Genomic DNA, 25,228 nt, shown 5'->3' with positions numbered 1-25,228 from the left:
GCGCGATCTCGGCTCACTGCAAGCCCCGCCTCCCAGGTTCACTCCATTCTCCTGCCTCAGCCTCCCGAGTAGCTGGGACTAGAGGCGCCAGCCACTATGCCCGGCTAATTTTTTGTATTTTTAGTAGAGACGGGGTTTCACCGTGTTAGCCAGGATGCTCACCATATCTCATACATTTGGACTGTTTTCCCCTCTCATCTCCATCCGTCCATCCAATATTTGTCCATACTTTGAATTCTTATTCAAAAGCCAACCCCTTCCATGGTGACTTTCCTAAGTTCCTCCATCTTAGCTCTCCCCGCAACCTTAGTGTTCAAATCACTTTGTCATAGTCTGTATTGCCTTTTAATTATCTGAGTATGTCTGTTGGCTCCAAGTAACTGGGTCAACATTTTTTCCTTTCTTTACTGTCCACTTAGAGTTACTCAATAAGGGTTTATTAACTCACTGAGGTGAGTAAGGCTCTTGACTCATAATACCCCCATTCTCTACTTGTCTTAGAATAAACCAGGACAGGGATTCTAGAGCAAACTCTGAAAACTGGGCTATTCGTGGTTTGATAAGACTGGCCAAGTATCCAAGATGGTTGAGGTAATGAATATTGTGACCTGAATATGAAATGTCTTAAGCTGACTGAAAAGTAATTACACAAAAAAAGTGTGAAGATATGAGAAGAGCATTATCGGTATCTGGAAATACTTAAAATAAGTAAATACATACATAAAAAGAGCAATTTCTAAAAATCTATATTTACCGCCATGTTTTGAGACCACGTACAAATAATGATACAAAAATGTTATCTTCAAACACCAAAGAAACTACTGATCCAATCAATCAGCAAATGCTAATTCAGGTGTTAGAAAAAGGTTATAAAGACTATTTAAGGCACAGCTCTGATTCCTGCCCTTAAGGACTTTCCAGTTTATTAATAATTGTGGAGAGAAGTAAACCGAATAAGCTATCTCGTAAGACAGTTTAATGTTTTACAGAACTTGAATTCATGGCTTCCAAAACTCAAAATAGGTCTTTAAATGGACATTTTTCATACCCAAAAGGTATGTTTAAAATAATTCATTCTCATCTAAGGACAGGAAGTGTGTAGAGTAAGCTAAGCCTGCAAAAGGTCATAACCACTATTAAAGCATTTTTTTTCTGATCTTTTTAACTGTCATGACTTTTATGCCCAACAGTTACTGATGGTCAAATGTATTCTGAAGCTCAGCCAAAGTTTTTTTTTAGAGTGATACTCAAAACAAAGCAAATATTGGCTTAGTCATGACACTTGTTGTTCTAAAACGTTAATAGCCTATTGTTCACTGTGGTTGTCTCAGCAAGATAATACATTGAAAAACAGCATTTCCTGATAGGAAGTGAATTCCCACTGTGTGTCACAGGACCCTAGCCAAATGCTGGGCTCCAAAGCAGAAACAGCAGTGCCTTCTGGGACTGCGTAACAGACCAGGGTAATGAGACTTCCCCTTCTCTCGTTTAAAATGTCTGTTTCAGCTCAAACTACAATCTATTTGACTGATTTTGCCACCATAGGACTGTTTTCCTAAAATGGCTTCAAATGCTTCAAAGTTTGTTCAACATCCTGTAGACAGCAGCATCCTGTATATTTCTAACTATGAAGAATTTCCTTAGTTATACATGCCACAATGGATGGGGTAATTTGACAAAGAAGCCATCAGGATGTATCTTCAAAACAGAGGGTGACCATTTTCAAGCGTGGTTTCATATAAGCAATTGTTAAAAAATCATAATAGGTGAAGCACAATAATTCCAACAGTTTTTTATACATCAGATACGTTTTAGTAGACAAAAATTTAGCCTCAATTAATTAGTCCAAGCACCACAGCATTACTTAGAGTTCAATTAGTGAGAAACTGGTGTCACCAGCAGAGCCTCATACAGAAGAGTGTGCCTCCAAAGTAACTGACACTGTACTAAGACATTAAGACCTTCTTTTTAAACACTGAAAACATACTTTTCATCTATTTTCACAGATTCGAATTTAAATATATATATATTTTTTGCCAAGTTCCAATCACCAGTGGATATTAGAAAGCTCCAACAACGCAAGGAACAGGAGCAGTTGTCATTTTAGAGGATTCTAAGCAAGACTGTCTCAGTTACCTAGGTACTCCTAGCATTTAACTCAGTGCTTGGCTGCTAGAAGGTCTTCGATACATTTTGCTAAGTGGAATTGTATGTCAAAAAATGCGTATGAAAATTAACAAGGAACACTAATAATTATCTAGCATTATTTGAATAATAATAATATCTCAGATTATAGAAAAGTATATTCAAGGTATATTAAGCCTTCTGCAAAGAAACTAAGGTAACCACCACACAAACATACAAACTCTCTCTCCTACCTTATTGGCCAAGAAAATGTCTTTTATCTTCCAGTTGTAATTACACAAATCAATTGAAGTCCTTACATCATTTTATCTTTAGAACAGCTGTCATTTGATTGAATTATGAAACTAAAACTGTGAAACAGGTAATGCTACCCAATGCTAAATATCCTATGTGTGATACAGCAAAAATACTGCTTTTGTTACTTTATAACTTTGCCATGTAACTTTGTAACTTTGCTGGCAGGATATAGTTCACCTCTAAAGCAGCTTCCTCAGCATCAAATCTGAAAACTTTAATTATGTTAAGTAATGTCAGTTTTAGCATTTAACGAAACAAGGAGATGGATTAAAGGGCTAGAATGTGCAAACAGTTTAAACAAGAAACCTGAAGCCAAGTTTCAAAGCCCTAGGATTACTTCTGAATGGTCGGACTCACTGAAAAATTATAAGGATCCATTTTAAAAACAAACATAACTTCACAATCTTCCTCCTCAAATATTCAAGCTTGATAAAAAGGATTTGCTTTTAATTCTGGAATGGGTTTTATACTTTTGAAATTGACTTTTGAGAAAAGGATAGTTTATGTAAAATATAGAATGATATTCAACTTTCCTTTTTTACATTCTTAAACTTTAAAATAGCTTAGGCCACATGGAAGGTCAAATAAATTACAGACCACACAATATATACAATAGATGTTTTTAATTTAAATATGAGAAACTTCATATAATTTGGGTTATCCAGTTTAAATCAATATTCCAACAAAAATACTACATAAATATTGAAGTTGGGTGGGACATTAAAACTCATCTATTTCAATCTCTTATTTTATAGATGGTAAAACTGAGGATTCAAGGAGGTCAGGTGACCCACCCCAATACCACACCCAAGTTACCCGACTTTGAACCCAATGTTCTTTCACTGCTCTGAGGAGAAATGACTTCCTCCTGGGGCAGTTCTTACCCACCCCGACCCATGAATGCCTGGGATAGTGCGGCCTAGTTTTGGAGCCCTAGTCTGATACATAGAAGTTGGTAAGGGAATTTTCTATTTCCACACAGCACTATTATACCTTCCCTATAGTACCCCAGTTCTGGGTTCTATCCCAAAACGGAGGTAGGAGAAGACTGATAGCATAAGTACGTCTGATGGAGAGGGGATGGGAACTAACTTGGAAATGATCCAAATATCCATCAAAGGAGGAATAACTGAGTTACAGTACATCCATCCACACAATAAAGTACTATAAAGCCATTAAAAAGAATGAAGTAGGCTGGGTGCAGTGGCTCACGCCTGCAATCCCAGCACTTTGGGAGGCTGAGGCAGGTGGATCACTTGAGGTCAGGAGTTTGAGACCAGCCCGGCCAACATGGTGAAACCCCATCTCTACTAAAAATACAAAAATTAGCCGAGCTGTTATCCCAGCTACTCGGGAGGCTAAGGCAGGAGAATCGCTTGAACCTGGAAGGCAGAGGTTGCAGTGAGCCAAGATCGCGCCACTATACTCCAACCTAGGTGACAGAGTAAGACTCTGTCTCAAAAAAAAAAGGAAAAGAGTAGATACATAATGGTATAATTTTATATGTATTAAAAAGATGTTCAGGTAGATCACACACACACACACACACACACACACACACACACACACACTCTCTCTCTCTCTCTCTCTCTCTCTCTCTCTCTCATCATTTTTTTGAAAAATAAATTCCCTTCTGGGGAGTGGGGCTGAGGGATTAGGGTGGGAAAAACATTTTGTCACATGCCCTTTTATATTATTTCATCTTTTTACCATATGCATTTTTTAGTAAAATTACCTTTTAAAAGTACGTTAAAGCAGAGAAAGGAAATTCCACGGAGCTCTGGGAGACAACTCTGGTGATGAAGATAAAGAAAGGGTTTATCAATGGTAATCTGACACTCTATATCTAATGTACATGACACATTATATCTAGTTCTCTAGAAAAGCCTTCTCAATGCTTTTCATGTCATGGTATGTCTATTAGTTCTCACTAATAGGGTATGCATAAATAAGACAAAGCTTGTATAGCAGACTGGAGTAAAAAGGAGGAGACTGAGGGGCAGATTCACAGGGCTTGGTAAAAAATATTCCATTTTCTTTATATTATGTATTTAGGAAAAGATAAGAGTATTAATGGAGATATTAACTATGATTTTCTATTAAAGTTCCAAATAAAAATCTATTTAAAAATCTTCTAATTTCAATATTTAACAGCAAATTCGTTGGCAAGCTTTGCTCCAGCATAACTGTAAAAGTCGAAGTTTAACTGTATTCCTCCAGAGTTCAAAGGGACAGTACATTGTAACCAATATTTTTTGAAATGAAACATAACAGAAAATAGCATTTTCTGTGTTGTAAGAGAGATTTATTTCAGAGATGTAAAGTGGTTCGTGTGTGTCATGATTGGGTCATGATGCAAAATATACTGAAAAAAGTTTGAAAGCCACTTTTACCCAAGGCTACACAACTAATAGCTGTACACTGAGTAGCCAATGTCCACGAGTAGCCAGGTCCACGAAAACACTTGTGGCAGGAGGTTGGCCTAATTTCAACTTGAAAATGCTGATGAGATGATTTATATAGCTAGTTCTACTACTCAGATATTAAAAAGTAAATTTCAAAATTCCTGACAGACACAACTTCTTAAAGTAAAGCTTTAGTTTTCATGTCACTTATAAGAATTACTGAGTTAACATCCAAACATTTTTCTCTCAATTCTAGCATATTCCCTTTAGCATTGCTGGGATAGTCATGTGTCTTTACAAAGAAAATTAGGGTACTCAAAGCTAGAAAAGATCTTAGAAGAGGCTAACCTAAATTCCTAACTGTACAGGTAAAGAAACTAATGTCCAAAGAGGTAAAACAGTCTCTTGATTCCCAGGCTAGTGCTTTTTGCTATGATACCACACCTGTGCTTTATTCTTACATCCTTATGAAGTTAGAAGTCAGCTAAATCCAATTACTACCAAGTAAAAAGGAGGAAGCTGAAGCAAGGAGATGCTAAGAAGTCTTAGTTCAAAAAGGATGACACAATGTCACCCCTGCAAGCCTTACAGAAATTAGCCATTTTCAACATTCAGATTTGATTTCAACAGAGGCAGTTATTCAGTTTGCTTGCACCAAATGAGTGTCTACCCAAAGTGTACACATGACCACACACCAGAGAGTATAGATAACACAAAGCACAGCCTCTCTCTCTCTACATGCCCACTTCAGTCAGTGAATAATTAAACACTCCAAAGGCATTTAAAACTCAGGTACAAAGAGAAACTCAGTGTGTGAGGGGGAAAAAAGATCAGACAGACCCCCAGTTGCGAAAAAAAAAATTGCTGAACATGGACCTCAATGAACAACAATAATTCTCCTATAGTTCAACTCACCATTCACGTCACAAACTCTAGAAAGAACACAGAAGCACGGAACTGATGAGGCATGGAACAGAACTTTGGGCTGCAGCCTGCCCCAACTCTTCTGACAAATACCCAACAGCAACAGGACAAAGCATCATTATGACAGAAATAAAAGGCTCTTTAGAAGCTGCCTTTTTTTTAATTCAATGAACCCACTCTTACACACAAAGTTCATGTCACGATGTCTCGAAATACAGTATTGCCAGATTATGCTATTAATGGGTCCAATAAATTCAGTACAAAACACTGCTTCAAGCATTTTCAAGTTAAATAACTAGCACATTTGGGAGAATACTATTTGCCTTCATTTGAACAGTCAGTGTCATCCCCAAAATCGTTAAAAATAACAATTCAGTAAACTGTTTAAGAAAGAGAAAGAAAAAAAAAAGCAGACAAGTGAACTAAAAGAAAAAAAACTTAGTGGAGTGATAAAGCCAGAGGCTCCTCCCAAAGAAGAATATTGCATGTTACTAGCAGCTGGCACAAAGCTTAACCATCTATCTTATCTGTGTTTCCCCTTAAGCTGTGAGCAATCAGTATTACAATAGACAATCCATTACTTACAAAAAAATTGAAGTGCTGTACATTTCTTAAGCTGGTTTTTGTGTGGCAATTCTGTTGCAATACTGCCCTAACAATGAACTTTGTTTTAAAGAGCAAGATATCCACACTCAATGTGGTTAGAGCAAGGGTGGAGCTCACTCTGGGGGAAACAACACACCCAGGCAGACTTCAGTGAGAGCAAACTGCACATTAATATTGCCACACATTTTTCAGAGCCTTGGAGTCACAATTAATTCATTAGTCCTCCTAAAAAAGTGGGGGAGAGTTCATGTTTGTAGATCAGCTTTCCTGCCTTGAAGTAAAATGTATTCTCATTTCTTGTTTGTGAAGAAAGTAAAGATAAAATGCAAGACAGATCACACAGTTCAACCAACAGAATGTTAGATGGAAGTAGAGTACTATAAAGGAAGTCCAACCATGCCAACTTCTAAGTTTAGCAACAGCAGCTTTTACATATCTCAAGGTGTCAGAAGCATTGCTCATTCTAAAACATTACTTCAGCCTGTTTCTGGAGGTCCTGACCATGAACACAAATTACCTCTTTCTCTCCTCACCAGTGCTCTAGTTCTCCTAGCAATACACAAACAATAAAAACGTTTTATTATCAACTAGCAATAGTTCCCTTCAAAATAAGATTTATTTTGAATTTATGGAGTTGCTCTGGTAGAATATTGAAATGTACATGTAAAAAAGAAAATTATTTATTATGCATACCATACTTTAAAAAATTTTATACTCACCCACTTTTTCAATAATTTTGTAGGAATTTTATTTTAAAAAGTTTTCCACAGTATGTATAAATACTGTACAAATATCTTTAATAGGATCTAAAATAATTTATCAGTTATTGAAACTATTAACAAACATCTGATACTTATTCAAGTGATTTTAACCAATACTGTTTTCTGTATACGCATATTCAGAAACACAACCAAGAGTTATTTTTAATTGAATTCCTATAATCATAAAATTAAAGTTTGAGTAAAATAAGCATATAAAAAACTATGTAATTGTTTACATAGAATTTAAAATGAACAATGGAAAAGGATTTGAGAGAACACCAGGAAAATATTATTTTTAATGATGCATGTTGTCATGTTACTCTAGCCAAGAGCTACTCTCTCACATTGGAACAATAATTCAGTCTGGAGTATTGAACATTTCAATATTTTGAGAGATGGCCTAGAACATCCTCTCTCAGGACCCTAGTGAGGGGCTGTTGATTGATCTTGCCTTTGTTGGATTATGAGGTCACTCTTGCCACATGATAAATTAACCATTCCAACATACTCTTCTCATAGTCTAACAGCATGATTTATTTTTTCAACCATCTATGTAATTATCAATCACCTGCTGCTATCTCTTGGCTCTTCCTCATCTCCCCCCTCAAACTAACAATTCAAAGTTACCAGTTGGTTATTATAGTAGAAGAATCCTGTCTTGATACTTTTTGGATTTGCACTGGCAGAATGTGTTTTCAAGCCAAACTTCACTTTCACAGCTGCAAAGGAAATGACAAGAGAAGAAAAACACAGCCAATATATATCAGCAATTAATTCCATCCACAACTGCCCAGCTGTTTGTGCATGGAAGAATCAGTCTGTTTCCTTTTGGGGCTTTCACCACTGAAAATTGATACTGCACATTCAGAGACACAAGCTGTTTGTAACATGTCAGGAATGTGCACAAGATCACACAGAGTTGAAGAGACAAAATGAAATCCAGATCTAGTTTTCTTGGGACTTGCCAGTATTATTTCATAGCTTTAAAAAAAAAACAAAAAACCATAAAAACACCCCAATCACAGAGAGAGCAAAATACATGAAAAAATATTCTCCCTTCTGAATATCACCCTTCCAATAAAGGAGAAAATCTGCCAATGATATCAGATTTAGTATCAAGAATAGACACTCTGATTTACTGGCACAGACAAGGTGTGACATTCTTAGGAATCCACATGCCCTCAGTATGTTAAATCCAGCCAATACTCTGGACTACACAGCTACTTGCCCAATGTGTAGTTAGTCCCTTTAAAAAATCCTTATAAATGTGAAAGTTGTTGGGAACCAATGCTTCCACCACAATCATGCAGAAAAGCAAGTTTTTCTTGGTTAGTCTTGATATTATTTGGCACTCACATACACGCCTGTTTCAGGGATTCATGTAAATTTACAGATCCAATCTTCTAGGGTAACTTTCAAGCAGTGAAATTTCTCCTTCCCTCCCGCCTCCTCAGTTTTGTAGATTTTAAATAAAAATACTCTACTGAGTGCCAGAGGCTTAACAACTAAAGTATGAGCTTGTGTGCAACTCATGAAGCATGCTATCCCCCTTCTCTCCTGTCCTCCAACTCCAATTTTATTTCAAATATTTGTTTCATTTAAATTTTGTAAAATGTCATTCTGTCATATTGTATTTTCAGTACATAAAATGACTTGCGATTAGTTATTGTTATGAAAGTTAGCAAAAAGAGAAAGATAGCATTTTAAAAACAAAGTAATTGAAAACATATTTTAGCTTTGTTTAAGATAAAAAAAAAAAAAGGAAATGAGGTAGCCCCATGACTGAATTCATTGTCCTAAGGGCCTTCCCCTTCCCCTTTTGCCCTCCAATCAACGTCAGCTGCACAAGAGTTCACGCACTCCTAGTGCCTGTACATTCTCAAATACAACATAGACAGGACACTCACTCTGGGCACCACTAGGGTCTAGGGCTTGATCAATGAAGAGAAGACAAACTGTCTACTCCAAATAGGGGAGTGAATGAAACATTCCATAAGCTTCCAAATGGAGATGTTTTCAAGTGCCAGAAATCAAACCAGCACAATGAGAAACTGTCTCCAACTAAAGTGCTATGAATCCCGAAGTCACAAAGTTTGATTTGTTAAGGAACTACTAGGCATCTCAAACATGTGGTAGACTAAAAGTACAAAACCAAAAAAAAGGGCTTTTCCTTTTGAACAAACATCATCTGGTCAAGGATATATCGGGTTGGGGGAGGAGAGGAGACAAGTTTAATCTTTGGCTGATGGTGACACCAACTTCTAGAAATGTGGTATAACTATTAGTGACTTAAAACAGCCACAGAGATGAGCTTTGCTTGGCAAGCTTCAGCTCTGTGGGACATTCAGTCTAGCTTGAAATGTCTATGGAAAGTAACCTCTCCATCTACTACAAGACTGGCTAAGGAAAAAAAAAAAAGGTCTGTCTAAACTGTTTAAATCAGGTTAAATTCATGTTAGTCGGGGGTGGGAAGGTGGCTGCTTCCATGGGTTCCTCTACTCAGTTGGGAGCACCTTTGTATTCCAACAGATAGCACAGAGCTTAGAGCTTAGCCCACTGAAACCATCCGTTAAGTGCTGAATGGTAATAGGCATTTAGTTATAATAAAAACAAAACAACTAAGGATGAACACTCTCCAAAAAGGAAAGCAAAATGACAGAAAAATAGGGGGCAAGGAGATGATCAGAGTAAAATGCATGAAATACTAAAAAGATTAAAAACCAACTGTGCAAACTTGTGTGTCCTCAGAGATCTAAATGCTGCTCAGCAGTTAAAGTGCCACTGGAATAATTTAGACTGCTGTGCCGTGCACTTTACATACTTATTCCATGTACTTCCACAGCAACCCTATCGGTAGTACTGTCATGATGCCTCCTTTACAGATAAGAAAACTAGGGCCGGGCACGGTGGCTCACGCCTGTAATCCCAGCAGTTTGGGAGGCCGAGGCGGGTGGATCACGAGGTCAGGAGATCGAGACCATCCTGGCTAACACGGTGAAATCCCGTCTCTATTAAAAATACAAAAAATTAGCTGGGAGTGGTGGTGGGCACCTGTAGTCCCAGCTACTCGGGAGGCTGAGGCAGGAGAATGGCATGAACCCGGGAGGTGGAGCTTGCAGTGAGCCGACATAATGCCACTGCACTCCAGCCTGGGTGACAGAGCTAGACCCAGTCTCGAAAAAAAAAAAAAAAAAAAAAGAAAACTAAAACTCAAAGAGGTTAAGCAAATAAGGTCATACAACTAGTGGCAATGGAGATAAGTCGAACAGTGATTTTTTCATCCCTGGTGATTTTCACAATAGGCCAATTTTACACACACTATGGAGGTTCTAGGTTGAAGAAAACTCAGTTGTGGGATTCAGCTGAGGGAGTAAAACTCAAGGGGAGAAAAAAAGGCCTGGACAAAAAGTAAACCAAAGCCAAGGTGTAAGAGTTGTGTGAGTTCTATGTAGGAGGAAGCTTCATGAAACAGTCTGCCATCCTATAGTTTTAATTCAGAGATGTCCCTTGAACTGTAGAAGGGCTCAAGAGTAGCTCTTACTCTCTCAGAGCTTTTGTTCTCCCAGTTAACTGTTCTCACAAGTGATAATACCACATAGATAACTCCTTGATAAAAATGCTGACCATGGTGTTCATGCTTCAGAAGATAATGAGAGACTATCCAAGTTGGTGAAATCCAACTGTTGTCTGCAGGCATTTCTGACTATATTCTATAATTTCCTATTTGAGGGATGCCCTGGTTTAGCCTCTCCTGCAAAGACGGATTTGTAAAGAAAAGCCTCCTACAGGCCTCCACCCGGTAAAGCCTCAAGTCCCACAACCCTCTGGCTTACTTCCAACATAGCACTCCTTACACTAACTGTCTGTTCCCTGGGTATACCTCTCACACGTACAGTGTGCAACTTGAGGGCAGGGCCCCTCAGGACCTAGACCAGGGGTTGAAAAAGGAGTTTAAAAAATATTATACATGGTGGCCGGGCACAGTGGCTCACGCCTGTAATCCCAGCACTTTGGGAGGCCGAGGCTGGGGGATCACGAGATCAGGAGATTGAGACCATCCTGGCTAACATGGTGAAACCCCATCTCTACTAAAAAAAATACAAAAAAATTAGCTGGGCGTGGTGGCAGGCACCTGTAGTCCTAGATACTCGGGAGGCTGAGGCAGGAGAATTGCGTGAACCCAGGAGGCGGAGCTTGCAGTGAGCCGAGATTGCGCCACTGCGCTCCAGCCTGGGTGACAGAGAGAGACTCCGTCTAAAAATAAATAAATAAATAAAATTATACATGGTAAATGAATAATGTCCCTTGCCTATTTAATATGTGATAGATGGTTATTTGTTAAAACAGGTAATCCAGGATTTAAAAAGGAAGAATTATAGAAAAGGCAAGGTTGGGGATAAGTGAAATATGGTTAATGTTCAAAATAGGCTTTTTCTGGATAAAAAAATGTACACAACATAACCTACAATGATTGGTAAGTTCAGCTTATTAAAGCTGAGGTTGAAATTCAGTAAGTCATTAGGTCTAAAGATTAGGCATGATCCCCATTTAAAACAAAAATTCACCAAACTAGTGAGGTTGTATTGTATCTTCAAGGTTGCCAAACTAGAGGTAGAAAGACATAATATGGCTTTGACTCTACTGATGGCATAGTACTTCTGAAAACTATGCATTTTATTAACACCTTGTGAAGACACAGACTACATGAAAAAGAAAAAAGCACAGAATAAAAAGTGAAGAATAAATCTATTTGTGCCATTAAAAAAATCTGCAATCATGAATAATTTCTGTTTTGGGAAAAGTTCTAAAACGGAATAGAAAACAAGTAAAAACAAAATGAAATATAGCCACAATATACGAAATATTCATGACACATGCAATTTGTTTTTACTTTCTAAATCTTTGAGGTATAACTTTTATTTTTAACTGTGGCAAGAATACATGAGATCTATCCTCTTAAATTTAAGTATACATTACTGTTGATTATAGGTACAATGTTCTATAGCAAACCTAAAGAGCCTTTTTATTTTGTTGGACTGAAACCCTCTCCCCTGCAATTTGTTAAAAATGTTACTTTTGCTTTGAGCTGTTCCATCTAAGGATATGGGGCTCTGTAGGCATTTTTAAATTGCTTTTTCCAACTATGAGACATCATTTTACTTGGAAAAATATGTTTTACGTTTCAAATACTTTACCCAGTAAAAGCCATTCCCCCAATTTTTTTTTAATCTTGGGAAATTTAAGTATCAATAATGTTTCTAAAAATTATCCTCCTAAAACAAATTCAAGCACTTAGCTTCAAACACTGCTGTTGGATAGGTAGGAGGCAAAGCTGGCTCCCCACCCCCCCCCCCCAAAAACAACAAAAAACTAAAAACAAACAAAAAAAAAAACCCACATGATGTGTTTGTAGGCCTACTAACACTCTCAGCTTCTCTGAGATCTAGCTGTAGAACTTGGGCTGCCTGTATATGACAAGAGCCACATCCCAGCCTCTAAAATTAATGCTTTAAGAGTCCTCAGATATGATAAGTAAGCTTTTTCCAAGACAGGGCGAGAGACAAGTTTGGTTATCTGCACCCCTACCCCCCAATCTTTATCCTTCAACCCCTGCATAACTCTGCCTGCCTTCAAGCATCTTAATGTGTTTTTCCACTCAATGGTTGATAGATTTGCTATATACTCAGTGGCATGATAGAAGGTGTAACGAAAACAAAAACAAAACTAGTCTGTAAATGTATTTCTTCTGTACATATTAGAGGGATTTCAGTTTACAGAATCATACATACTGCTCCCAAACATAACTAAAGTGTAGAGTATCAATTTATTCTCTGCAACCTACAGCAGTACTGATCACATAACCTACTTTGATTTTAGATTTTTTAAATTTATATTTAAATTCTGAGTTGGTAAATCAATTCACCATATATTTCTTTTCTACTTTTTTCTTAAATACATTTATTCTACTAACTATTCATTCCCCTACTATTACATGCTACAAGTGAACAGGTATCATGGTAAAAAATGTAAGAAATGAACGAGACATTGTCTCTGACCCTAAAATACTAGCAATTTAGTGGGTTGGGGCAGGGGAGAGGGAGAGACAATTGTAGCACACTCTGTTATTATAATAGATATACTACAGATATACTACAGATATATTCAGAGAAAGGAGCCTATTTGAAAGGTTACAGGGCAAGTTACCCTGGAGCTTGGTCTAAAAGGAATGAGTATATATGTATGGGGTGAAGAGGAAAAAGATTAAAAAAAGACAATATATGTTTTAATAAACTTTTAATACATGGCTTTACTTTAAATAAAAGTATCACAGATTACAACTAATACAAAAGGGAAATCAAAATTGCCACTGGGTAACAGTTTACTGTGGTGTGTATAATTTAAGCTACAGGAAGCCTACAATCTATTAGCGAACCACAGTTTTGTGTCATGTGCTTTTGCTTTCACTCTAATCTGACTTGCATGCTAAGAAAAGAAACTCAAAAGCCATTTATATTCTTTTTTAAACAATGCTTGTTCTTACACTGCATTAACCAATGACTTAGAAATAATTAAGACCAATTATCTTGAAAGCCAGTCAAATTGTAATCTGACACCACATCACCATGAAAAGAGGCATAAGAATGTTCTAGGTTAATACTAAGGTCAGTAAACAAATTTCATGGTCAAGGTGGCACTACATTATACTACACCCTATGAGCTCAAATCCTTAAAAGCATCAAGTATAAGCAAGGTAGATTTAATGGGAGAGGGTGGGAAGGGGAAAAAAAAAACACAACTAATAAGCATTATGTTTTGTAAGGCACTTAAGTTCTAAGGTTCACTGGCCCAGAAAGCTGTTGATATATGAGAAAGGTTACTTTTGTGGATTGAAAAATGGGCTAAGGTGATTAAATATACATTTAAAGCTGAAAGGGATGATATGTTAAATTGCTGAGACTGGGTCACTCATTTGATCAACTTACTATTGATGAGAAAATGCCACAGGGTTAATGTTTAAGATGCTTCCACACTGAAGTACAAATAAATAACAAATCTTCCATTTTTATGAAGAAGAATATGCAGATCATTTACAGCATATACAATCATGACAACCTGAGAGGAAAAATCCTTTAAAATGGAAAAATTAAGGTAGGATTATTTATGTAAATTATTTAAAGATTCCTTGCCAGGTTGTCTTAAATAGTAATCGCACCTGCATTTAACCATGTTATACTGAGATACAGGCAATTTTTTTTTTTTAAGACAGGGTCCCACTCTATTGCCCAGGCTGGGTGCAGCGGCATGATCATGGCTCACTGCAGCCACAACCTCCCCGGGCTCAAATAATCCTCCCAGCTCAGCCTCCCAAGTAGCTGGGACCACAGGCTCACATGACCACGCCCAGCTAATTTTTCTATTTTTTGCAGAGACGAGGTCTCACCACGTTGCCCAGGCTGATCTCAAACTCCTGCGCTCAAGTGATCCAGCTCCCTCAGCCTCCCAAAGTGCTGGGATTACAGGAATAAGCCACCATGACCAGCCACTAGCCAACTTTTTAGGAGCATATACTTTATATAAAGCAAGGGCTGTAAGTACTTTATACTAATGAATTCACACCTACAACATCTAAACTTTGACAAAAAAGAAAAAATCCTTTTGCCTTTCAAAACGTTCACTTCAGGAGTTTAATCCTGGAGTAGGAAATCCTCAATGAATTCTTTGGACAGTGTATATGTACAGCTGTCCCTAGGTATCCATCAGGGATTAGTTCTAGGACCTCCCATGGCCACCAAAATCCAGGATGCTCAAGTCTCTGATATAAAATGAAGTGGTATCTGCATAAAACTTTGTACTTCCTCCTGAATACTTTGAATCATCTCTAGATTACTTATGATGCCTAATACAATGTAAATGCTATGTAAGTAGTTATTCTGTATTTTTACTCTAATATTTTCAATCTGTGGTTGGTTGAATCTGAGAATGCGAAACCCTCAGAAGTGGAGGGCCAACTGTAACTTCCTCAGAAGATTCAGAGAAAGGAGGGGGGGAGGTGGAAAAGCTCATGACAATTGCTTCTGAACTTCTGAGAAGCAAAGTGACAGGAGCAGTACAAAAACTCGGTGGAAGCGGGAAAAGGAGGAGCTAAGAAACCAGATGAAGAGACAATATAGGGAGCCAAGGGTGACATGAGATAAGGGGATCAAGTAACTGTGGCAGCCAAAGACGCTGGGCCACACCCATAGAGAGCTATGTGGCTTATTTCAAGGGGGTGGAACACTGAGCAAGTGAACAATTTTGGTTTTGTTTAACTGAAAGGTTGCACAATCCTGTAAATGGGGGAAGGAAAGGGGGTGTTTTTCCAGTATAGAGAAAGTTAGGATAAATAGTTATCCCTTTAAAAAATATTAAACAAAGAGAAGTAATAACTAAATCATTCAAAGGAATATGAAAAAAACAAAGCAAATCAAAGCAAAAATAATCTAGCATTGTTGGTGTTTTAGAAAAGCGATGTATACCTTATACATGAAAATGAAAAACTGAGAACCTTGAGGAAAGAAATATAAACTCTATGTAAACCCAGAACATTACTTATTGACTGTCATGATGAAGCTTTTTATCTTGTGGACCATGCCATCCTTCAAACTACAAGATCCCCATAAAGTACACTGACACGAATTTTGGGGTATGTGGATCAGTGTAAGGTTCTTCCTCACTCCAACTTTAAATATGGCAGCTTATAGAAATAATTCTCAATGACTGGATTCTTAAAACTTAATCCAAGATAAGCAATACTGTGACTCCTGTGGGATATTTCCAAGTTATTAATCTGAAACAGTTCTCAACCTCTTTAAACTCATTCCTGCTGGTCCAATATAATAAATGATATGATGCTTTAAATAAAAAGGGGAGGTGGAGGGAAGAAAGAAGGCCCAAGTTAGCACCTCTGAAGTTGCTTTAAAGTTTATAAAAACTGCAAATGAGAAGTAATAACATAATATACATTTATTGTATTTTTCAATCATGTGGCTAGAAACTACAGAAATAATTTTAGAAAGGCTTTCTTCCAGGTGCAAATTACTTTATTTGATTTCACGTTTAACAGTTACTGCCTTTACTACACTCTAGGAAATGAAAGTTGAAAAATATTTCAGGTTTTTTATAGATGATTTATTAATCAAATCTACTGATTTTTCTAAGCATTAATATCTTCCTACAGGAATTTTTTTAAAAGGCACTATACAGTTAACAAGCATTTGCTTTCACCATAATACAAAAGTCAAGGTGTGCTTGCTAAACCAGAAACCAATCAGTGCACCTAGACCCGTGTTCTTAACACAGTCAGAACAGAGCAACCAAGTGTAGCTTTAATATTTTGGCTTACCAGTTTGTAAACAAAAATTTGTAGCTAGAGTGCAAAAGAGGGATCTAAATATACAAACCTCTCTCAACATAATGTCATTATATAGATCACACCACTAGTAAGAAACGCTCATGGAAATACTCGTTTTAGAATTTCCAAAAAATTCTAGACAATTATATCTCAAAGAAATATAAGCTGCTTAAAATTTACAAAAGAATTTCAGAGTCATAGTCAACAACTAGAAACCAGGTTTTCTTCTACTCACAAATTGTGGGCTATGCTTATCGAAGCCTGTAACAGACTTCTAAAAGATGGGGAGTTACAGAGAACCCCACAAAAAAAACCCAGAATGTTGAAGGGTTCATTCTTAGTTAAAAGATTGACCAAAAAGAAAGAAAAAAAAATCTATCCCTTAACAGAGAGAATTAAAAACCCTAATCAAGGGCCAGGCACGGTGGCTCACACCTGTAATCCCAGCACTTTGAAAGGCCAAGGAGGGTGGATCACGAGGTCAGGAGATCGAGACCATCCTGGCTAACACAGTGAAACTGTCTCTACTAAAAATACAAAAACTAGCCAGGCATGGTGGCACACACCTGTAGTCCCAGCTACTCAGGAGGCTGAGGCAGAACTGCTTGAACCTCGGAGGCAGACGTTGCAGTGAGCCAAGATTGTGCCACTGCCCTCCAGCCTGGGCGACAGAGAGAGACTCTCAAAAACAAACAAACACTCAAATCAAAAAGCCTTATCTGTCTTTTCCAGAACGCTGAATGGAAAAAGTCTCCCTTGCTAATCTGTAACAATAGGCCTACACTCACAAAGATTTGAGATTTGGGTTTATACACCAGCATGGTCCAGAAAACCCCAAGTCAAGAGAGAAACATGAAGTGGTCTTCATGTTTCAAGACCCTTAAATTAAGTGTTCAAAACCCTTAAAGATAAAATTAGAAGCATGAGAAAGGAAGATGCTATAAAGACCAGCAGATTTTAAGGACTATCGAATAATTGAAAAAACTTAATGGAGTAACAGTACATGAGACCCAAGAGAGTAAACTAAAATACATACTTGAAAAAACTAGCGAGAATGAAGCACAGAGACACAAAGAAACAGAATATACAGAAGAGAGGCTAAAAGAGGTCGGGCGCCGTGGCTCACACCTGTAATCCCAGCACTTTGGGAGGCTGAGGCAGGTGGATCATTTAAGGTCAGGAGTTCGAGACCAGCCTGGCCAAAATGGTGAAACCTCGTCTCTACTAAAAATACAAAAACTAGCCGGGCATGGTGGCACACACCTGTAATCCTAGCTACTCAGGAGGCTGAGGCAGGAGGATCACTTGAACCTGGGAGGCGGAGGGTGCAGTGAGCCAAGATCGAGCCACTGTACTCCAGCCTGGGCAACAGAGTGAGATTCTTTCTCAAAAAAAAAAAAAAAAAAGGGGAGAGAGAGAGGCTAAGAAAAAATGAGAGAGAGAGAGAGAGAGAGAGACAGACAGAGACAGACACACACTAAGAGACTTTAGTAAAGTCCAACATACCAAAGTTCCTGAAGAGGAAATAGATCAGAGGAGATATTCAAGGAAATCATGGCTAGAGACTTTTTGCAGAGTGGTCCAGGGACAGACTGCCTACAAAGGACTGACAATTAAACCTGCAACAGACTTCAAAAGAAGACTAAATAAAAGCAATGAGACAAAGAAATATATTCAAATTGCTGTGACAAGATGTCAGTCTAGGAATTGTATATCTAACAAAACTATCTTTGGAGAATAAGAGTAAAATAAAACACTGTCTCACTAAAAAGTTTTATGAACTTACTAAAGGAACTTTTAAAGGACAAATTCTAGGAAGAAAGAAATTAAAACTGGAAGGGCAGGCTGGGATGGAAGAAACAACAGTGAGTAAAGAAATTTGTAATTTTTTTTTTCTTTTCTGAAACAGGGTCTCGCTCTGTCGCCTAGACAAGATCTCAGCTCACTGCAACCTCTGCTTCCCAGGTTCAAGCGATCCTCCCACTTCAGCCTCCTGCATAGCTAGGACTACAGGTGCGTGCCACCACCCCTGGCTAATTTTTGTATTTTTTGTAGAGATAAGGTTTTGCCATGTTGCCCAGGCTGGGAAACATGCAGTTTTAAAAATACTGTATAAAAAAATAGCAATAACAAATGCAGGTGGTTAAAAACAAGGTGAACTAATACCCTGGTTAATAATAGCATATAAGATAAGAATAGAAAATAAGAGTGTTTTAAGATCCTTGTATTGTTCAGAAAAAGGGAAGAGACAGCTATTAACTTTGGATTTTAAGAATGGATGTTAACATTTTAAGGGTATCTGAAAAAAGATAATCCAGAATATATCTTTTTAGACCACTGATATCAATAATAAAAAGAAAAATAACCCAATTTTTCTATTAGTAAAAGACGTGAACAGCACTTTGCAAAAGCACATCCAAAAACCCAGTATGTACATTAAGAAGTGCCCATCATCATTAGTTATAAGGGAAATAAAAATTAAAGCCACAGTGAGATACCACTATCTACCTACCAGTGTGGCTAAAATGAAAACAGAAACAAAAAACTTAATATCAAGTACTGGCAAGGATGTGGAACATCTGGAACTCAGAGTTGGTATGTCAATTAGTACAAATACTTTGGGAAACTGGCCTTACCTGCAAAAGTTGGAGACACACATGCCCTGTAAGCCAGCCACTCCTCTCCCAGAAATACACTCAAAAGAGCTGCATGGATATGAACAACAAAAACCATACAACAAGGATGTTCATGGCAGAATTATTTTTAATAGATGCAAACTGGAAACAATCTGAATGACCATTATCTAAATGAATTATTTTATGTTCATAAAATGGAATACAGTACATACAATAAAGAGAATGAATTACTGTTACATTTAACAACACAGACAAATCCCACAGGAAAAAAAATGCTGGGCAAAAGAAGCTGGAGACAAAAGAGTAGATATTGAATGATTCCATGTATATAAAATCCTGAAACAGGCAACACTACTCTATGGTATTCAAAACTAAACTTTGAATTTAGAATATGGTATGTTCAAAACTAAATTATGTCAGGATTATGGCTGCCTTGCAGAGAGAGGAGAAATGCCTGAGAACCCAGAGCAGGGTGTTGCTAGCATTCTAGTTCTTGACTTAGGTAGGTTACACACGGTGTTCACTTTATATATATATATATATATATATATATATATATATATATATATATAATGAATATATATATTCATATTCATCAAGCTGTACTGTTATGATTTCTGTACTTTTCTATATATATGTTAAACTTGCATTTAAAAGTTTATCTGAAAAAATTAAGTGATTTAAAAGAAAGAAAAGCCTCCCCTCTTTCTATAGCAAGAATTTATAACTTGATGCCATTTTTTCTGTTGGTTAGCTTAGCTCTCTGGAGACACTGTTAAATCCTCTTTCTCACAAAACCAAAGCATTTTCGTATCCAATTTCTTATAAGAAGTAATCTAAGTTCTCCTATATGAGCTCTATATATACTCCTATACAAAATGTAAGTGATCCATGTAATATCAACTACTTAGCAAGGAGGCATAATAAATAAAGAAATTCAAGAAAATTTAGGTCTGAAATCAGTACACTACTTAACTCCGCTTCTCCACCTCAACAATATAATGGATTTAAATACATAGTGCAGCATAAATTATCACAATGTTCAATCACTGTGGCCAACAGCAGTGTTACAGTATTAATGCATTCTGTTGTCTGAATTCAACAGCTTCTCCCATCTTCAGCTCCTGATGCCATTTTTCAGTGATAAGAAACATTAACAACACATTCACAAAACACTTAAAATCTAAATTAGGCCTTCTAGTCGTTAAAAAAAATGAAGACATTGTTCGAAACTAAATTATGCAAAATGAAAACAAAAACCTGCATGTAACCACTAACCCACAACAAATAATTAAGAATTATTTTTTCCCTTAATCACAATCTTTCTGCTGGGGAGAGATAATCAGAACAGATCCCGAAATATCTGTTCAAGACTAACACATTTCAGGGTTACACAATCTTGCCCTATCCAATCTTGTCCTAAGAGAATTTTCTGAATTCTCAGTGTAATAGAAATTTTATATCCATATTATGCTACTTTTGCCTAATACTGTTTTATCTCATAGTTTAAGAATCTGGTAGAGTGTGATATGGAAACGTATCTGCTGGTAGAATGCTACTTTCTGATACGTTATTGAAGAGCAAAGGCTGGGAGGAAGATTCCTAGAAAAAACTAATTTTGTCTTCTTCACTAATTTATTAAAATCGGTTACCATTTTGAAAATTTTGGGGGTACATTTCACACTTTCAAATATATAAAGGTAGGTTTGTATTAATTTTATTTAATTTTTGAGACAGGGTCTTGCTCTGTTGCCCAGGCAGGAGTGCAGTGGTGAGATCACAGCTCGCTGCAGCCCTGACCTCCTGGGCTCAAGCAATCCTCCACCTCAGCCACCTAATAGCTGGGACCACAGGTACACACCCTCACGAGCCAGCTATCTTTTTTTTTTTTTTTTGAGATGGAGTTTCACTCTTGCTGCTTAGGCTGCAGTGCAATGGCCTGCATTGGCATGCAATGGCATGATCTTGGCTCACCGCAACCTCTGCCTTCCAGGTTCAAGCCATTCTCCTGCCTCAGCCTCCCAGGTAGCTGGGATTACAAGCATGTGCCACCATGCCCAGCTAACTTAGTATTTTTTTTTTTTTTTTTTTTTTTTTTTTTTTTTTTTTAGTAGAGACAGTGTTTCTCCATGTTCATCAGGCTGGTCTTGAACTCCCGACCTCAGGTGATACGCCTGCCTCGGCCTCCCAAAGTGCTGGGATTACAGGCGTGAGCCACTGCACCTGGCCTCGATATTTTATTTTTTGTAGAGATGGGGTGTCCTCCTGTTGCCCAGGCTAGCCTCGAATTTCTGGGCTCAAGTGATCCTCCTGCCCTGGAACCCCAAAGTGTTGGGATTATAGGTGTGAGCCACCGTGTCTGGCCTGGCCAATTTGCATTCTTGACAGTAAAAATCTAGTAGTCAGCAGAACTAGGTTCTAGTTCCAGTTCTAGCTCTGATTTTAACTCCCACAATGATTTTGGTTAAGTTACTCAGTCTTTCTAGCACTCACTTTGCTCAAGTGAAAATGAGAGGACTGAATTAGATGCCCTTGAAGATTTCATACAATTCTAATATCCTATAATGGGTCTAGTGTAGAATGTATCTCAGACTAGAAATTTACAAGGATGATTATGGTACCCAGATAAAGATAATACAGCAATACAAAAGAAAAGCAAATAGTTAACCCTTAATTAGCCAGTCCATTTGTTAAGTTAGGTCTCTGTGCAAATGGATATTCCTTCCTCTACAAGCACCTGAATTTCATCTATTTCAGCACTTATGGGCACTGCAGAAGTGTCTATGAAGTACAGTACCTATTTGCTTTATACCTTGCAAAAGTACTTCTTGAAGATGCTATCATTCTGCTTTCCCAAAGGAAAGCTGACTCCAGTCAATCCTGTCTCATTTATACTTTCAACATCAATTAGCATTAAGGGGACATACACAGAAACCACCACTCCACCCAAAAAAAAGACTGACAACCCTTTTCCAGGCTGCACTACACCAATAAAACTGTCATTCAGTAAGTCAATCCCATAAGTCCCTCTCTACTACATACACTGTCAGGAAGCCATCAGCATTACCTGTATCTACTTTGGCTGTCATTTATGGCTCTGCTGGATGAGCCTCACCATCTGGAACACCATGGCTCCATCTTTCTAAATTAAACAGCTCAGCTGGCTTACCTCTTTCTCATCTTTCATATTATATAGCGGTGGGTTTTTCAGAGTAATAGGCACTAATACAATGAGAGGGACAACATAGTCATAGCACAAAGCTCAGGCTCAGTGAATGTCAAATACGGTCAAAAGGACCTTAAAGGTCATCTAGTCCAATTCTTTCTTTTCACTTGTGAGAATTCAGAGGTGCCCAATGTCACTATCTAAGGTCATACAGAATGTGCGTAACCTAACTTCAGGCTAGTACTCTTTCTACTCTATAAAATTTAAAGTTGCCTCTCAGGAAAGAATGCTTAAATTGGAATCCACCTCCTATAGAACACGGTAATTGTCATTCCTCTATAGCAACAATGAAACATCCACTTCAAATGAGATGAGATACTGAAAAACTTCAAGTTCTGTCTGTCCAAATGTCAAAAAATGAATTTGTGTTGATAGACACAATCTACTAGCATATTAGGCTCAGACAGAGTGCAAAATCCCAAGGAAGGAAGTAGTTTAATATTGTTCCAGTGGCAAAGATTTTTAGGATAGTGAGATGAAAGAAATGTCCCGAAGTTGTCCTCAAGCTTTGAGAGAGAATAAAATGGTGGAATGGTTAGAACACAGAGCAAGCATTTGATTCTTTATAAAGAAATTATCTGATTTGCAAAGAAATAAGACAACTGCTTCAATTATAGCACTAGGCTAAAATATCCAAGTGCTTTTGGGACTTTCTTGTAAAATTTTATTCAGAGGGGGGGTTTTCCTTGTCATTTAGTTTTTGCAGCACACACACTCCATATTTAATCCACTATCTGCCTACAACCTAGTACTTAGCTATTATTCACATTCTCATGTGGGCATATACCCAACTTCTTACTCCATCAAACACTGGAATAAACGTTAATATATTAGGAAATTAGAAAAACGAAATGAACAGGAGGGAAAGCAAGTACATTTTCACACAAAGTACAGGATACAGCTGTGATCTGTCAAGCTTACAAGACTGTCTCCTTAGCTAACAGCAAAGCTACAGGACTATCTTCTCAGCTGAACAGGAAGTCGCAGTCTAAAAAACATAAATGTTCCCAAGCCTCAACTCTATTCCCTTCACTTCACATTTCTAGCATGCATTAACCCTTTGACCAAGCCTGTGTAATACACCCATTCAAGTAGCCTTGACGAGGTGTCAGCAAGTCTATGGATGACAAGTACTTTGAGAGTCCACAGAATAACCTTTCATCATGATGTCCCTAAATAAAAAGCCATGTGGGACTAATGTGTTTGGTTGTACTCTTCAGAATAAACAGGTTGTAGCAAGAAAGACAAAACCAACTTTGGCCTTTGAGAAATTCATACTTGTATGAATGATCTTTATTTATTTTTTATTTTTTTTGAGACAGAGTCTCGCTCTGTCACCCAGGCTGGAATGCAGTGGCACCATCTTGGCTCACTGCAACCTCCGCCTCCTGGGTTCAAGCGATCCTTCTGCCTCAGCCTCCCGAGTAGCTGGGACTACAGGCGCAAGCCACCACGCCCGGCTAATTTTTGTATTTTTGGTAGAGATGGGGTGTCTCTATATGGTGATAGTGGCCAGGCTGTTCTCGAACTCCTGACCTCGTGATCTGCCTGCCTTGGCTTCCCCAAGTGCTGGGATTACAGACACCTGCACCCGGCCTATTTATTTATGAGACAGAGTCTTGCTCACTTTGTCACCCAGGCTGGAGTGCAGCAGCGCGCACTCAGCTCACTGCAACCTCTGCCTCCCGGGTTCAAGCAATTCTCCTGCGTCAGCCTCCTGAGTAGCTGGGATTACAGGCATGCGCCACCACGCCCAGCTAATTTTTGTATTTTTAGTTTAGACAGGACTTCACCATTTTGGCCAGGCAGGCCTCAAACTCCTGACTTCAAGTGATTCAACTGCCTCAGCCTCCTAAAGTGCTGGGATTACAGGCATGAGCCACTGTACCCGGCCTGTATGGGTGATCTTTAGTTTTCCATTTCTGAAAGTGTTTCCATGGTACCAACATATAATTTAAAAAAATAGAATTTCCTTTATCTTTCATAGGATCCTGTGTCAGCTAACAGACAAGGCACCTAACCCAGGCCCAAGGTAATGGAGGTGAAAAGAGAGCACTTCACAATGGATCTAATGTAATTTTTAAGTGATTTATAAATTAAATGTCACTTATAAACTATAATTTTAAAAGATGAGAGTCAAGGAAAGAAGGAAGACAGTGTTGTAGGCACTGGGAAAACTTTTGCAACCAATGATAATTTAACAGTAATATGACAGATCCTTCCTACAGTTCCACTTTAGAATGGATTTGTGATACTGAAAAGAATCATGAGCTAGATACTTAGATGCTGATTAGAGGTGCCCAGGTACATCAGCAGATCATATTCCAAATGATAGTTCAACATACATAAAAGGCTCAATACAAAGGAAATAGTGATATCCTCAAATGGTGTGTTTAGAAAAGAGAGGAGGTGGTGAGCATTTTTTCCCCAAGAAAATGCTATAGAATTATTTTCAAATTAATACTCCTTTCAATGTCTTGATTTCCCAGCTTACCCTTTACATCAGAGGAGAGCACAGCACTGTTGCCACAGTCCTCACAAAGTACTATCACCGTGGGTATGATACACAAAGAATGGAGCTAACTCTCAAACAGGAAGTCACCATCTCGTCAATCAGATGGTACACATTAGAAATGAAAAGATCAGCAATATGTAGAAAGCAATAAAGAACATGTAGAATCGAGAGAAGGAATTCTGAGATCTTGCCCTTTTTCACAGGCGGCTCCACAGTTTATCAACAGCTGGGAAATTTCCTGTTCACAGGAAAAGGATGACTTCTTAGTTCACGTTAAAGTGGAAATGACAAAAACTGACTGCATCACACAGAAAAAAAGGTG

At 37.9% G+C, this 25,228-nt stretch overlaps 1 protein-coding gene across 30 annotated transcripts in view, besides 3 other annotated features; it reads right to left on the bottom strand.

Annotated features, from left to right (window-relative positions):
- Positions 1-25,228, bottom strand: part of ADD3 (adducin 3) — a 139,193-nt gene that overhangs the window by 52,091 nt on the left and 61,874 nt on the right. For 6 of the 30 annotated variants that reach the window (XM_047424587.1, XM_024447797.2, XM_024447806.2 and 3 more), the window contains exon 2: positions 4,178-4,235. The exons of 12 other annotated variants lie outside the window; for them this stretch is intronic. The gene's annotated coding sequence lies outside the window, so the exon portion shown is untranslated. Of the gene's footprint in view, positions 1-2,378; positions 2,525-4,177; positions 4,236-5,762; positions 6,432-7,765; positions 7,858-25,228 lie in introns of those variants that run through there. 12 more of the 30 variants (XM_047424588.1, XM_024447796.2, XM_024447805.2 and 9 more) reach the window with 6 other exon arrangements.
- Positions 10,892-10,961: an enhancer, noted in NCBI's record as "active region_4003". NCBI's record gives its function as "activates an Ori minimal core promoter by ATAC-STARR-seq in GM12878 lymphoblastoid cells {active_cell/tissue: GM12878}" and the evidence as "EXISTENCE:reporter gene assay evidence [ECO:0000049][PMID:35858748]".
- Positions 23,290-23,399: an enhancer, noted in NCBI's record as "active region_4002". NCBI's record gives its function as "activates an Ori minimal core promoter by ATAC-STARR-seq in GM12878 lymphoblastoid cells {active_cell/tissue: GM12878}" and the evidence as "EXISTENCE:reporter gene assay evidence [ECO:0000049][PMID:35858748]".
- Positions 23,450-23,509: an enhancer, noted in NCBI's record as "active region_4001". NCBI's record gives its function as "activates an Ori minimal core promoter by ATAC-STARR-seq in GM12878 lymphoblastoid cells {active_cell/tissue: GM12878}" and the evidence as "EXISTENCE:reporter gene assay evidence [ECO:0000049][PMID:35858748]".

This window comes from Homo sapiens, chromosome 10 (assembly GCF_000001405.40).
Source record: "Homo sapiens chromosome 10, GRCh38.p14 Primary Assembly".
Lineage (NCBI taxonomy): Eukaryota > Metazoa > Chordata > Mammalia > Primates > Hominidae > Homo > Homo sapiens.
This window is presented reverse-complemented; position numbering and strand designations above follow the sequence as displayed.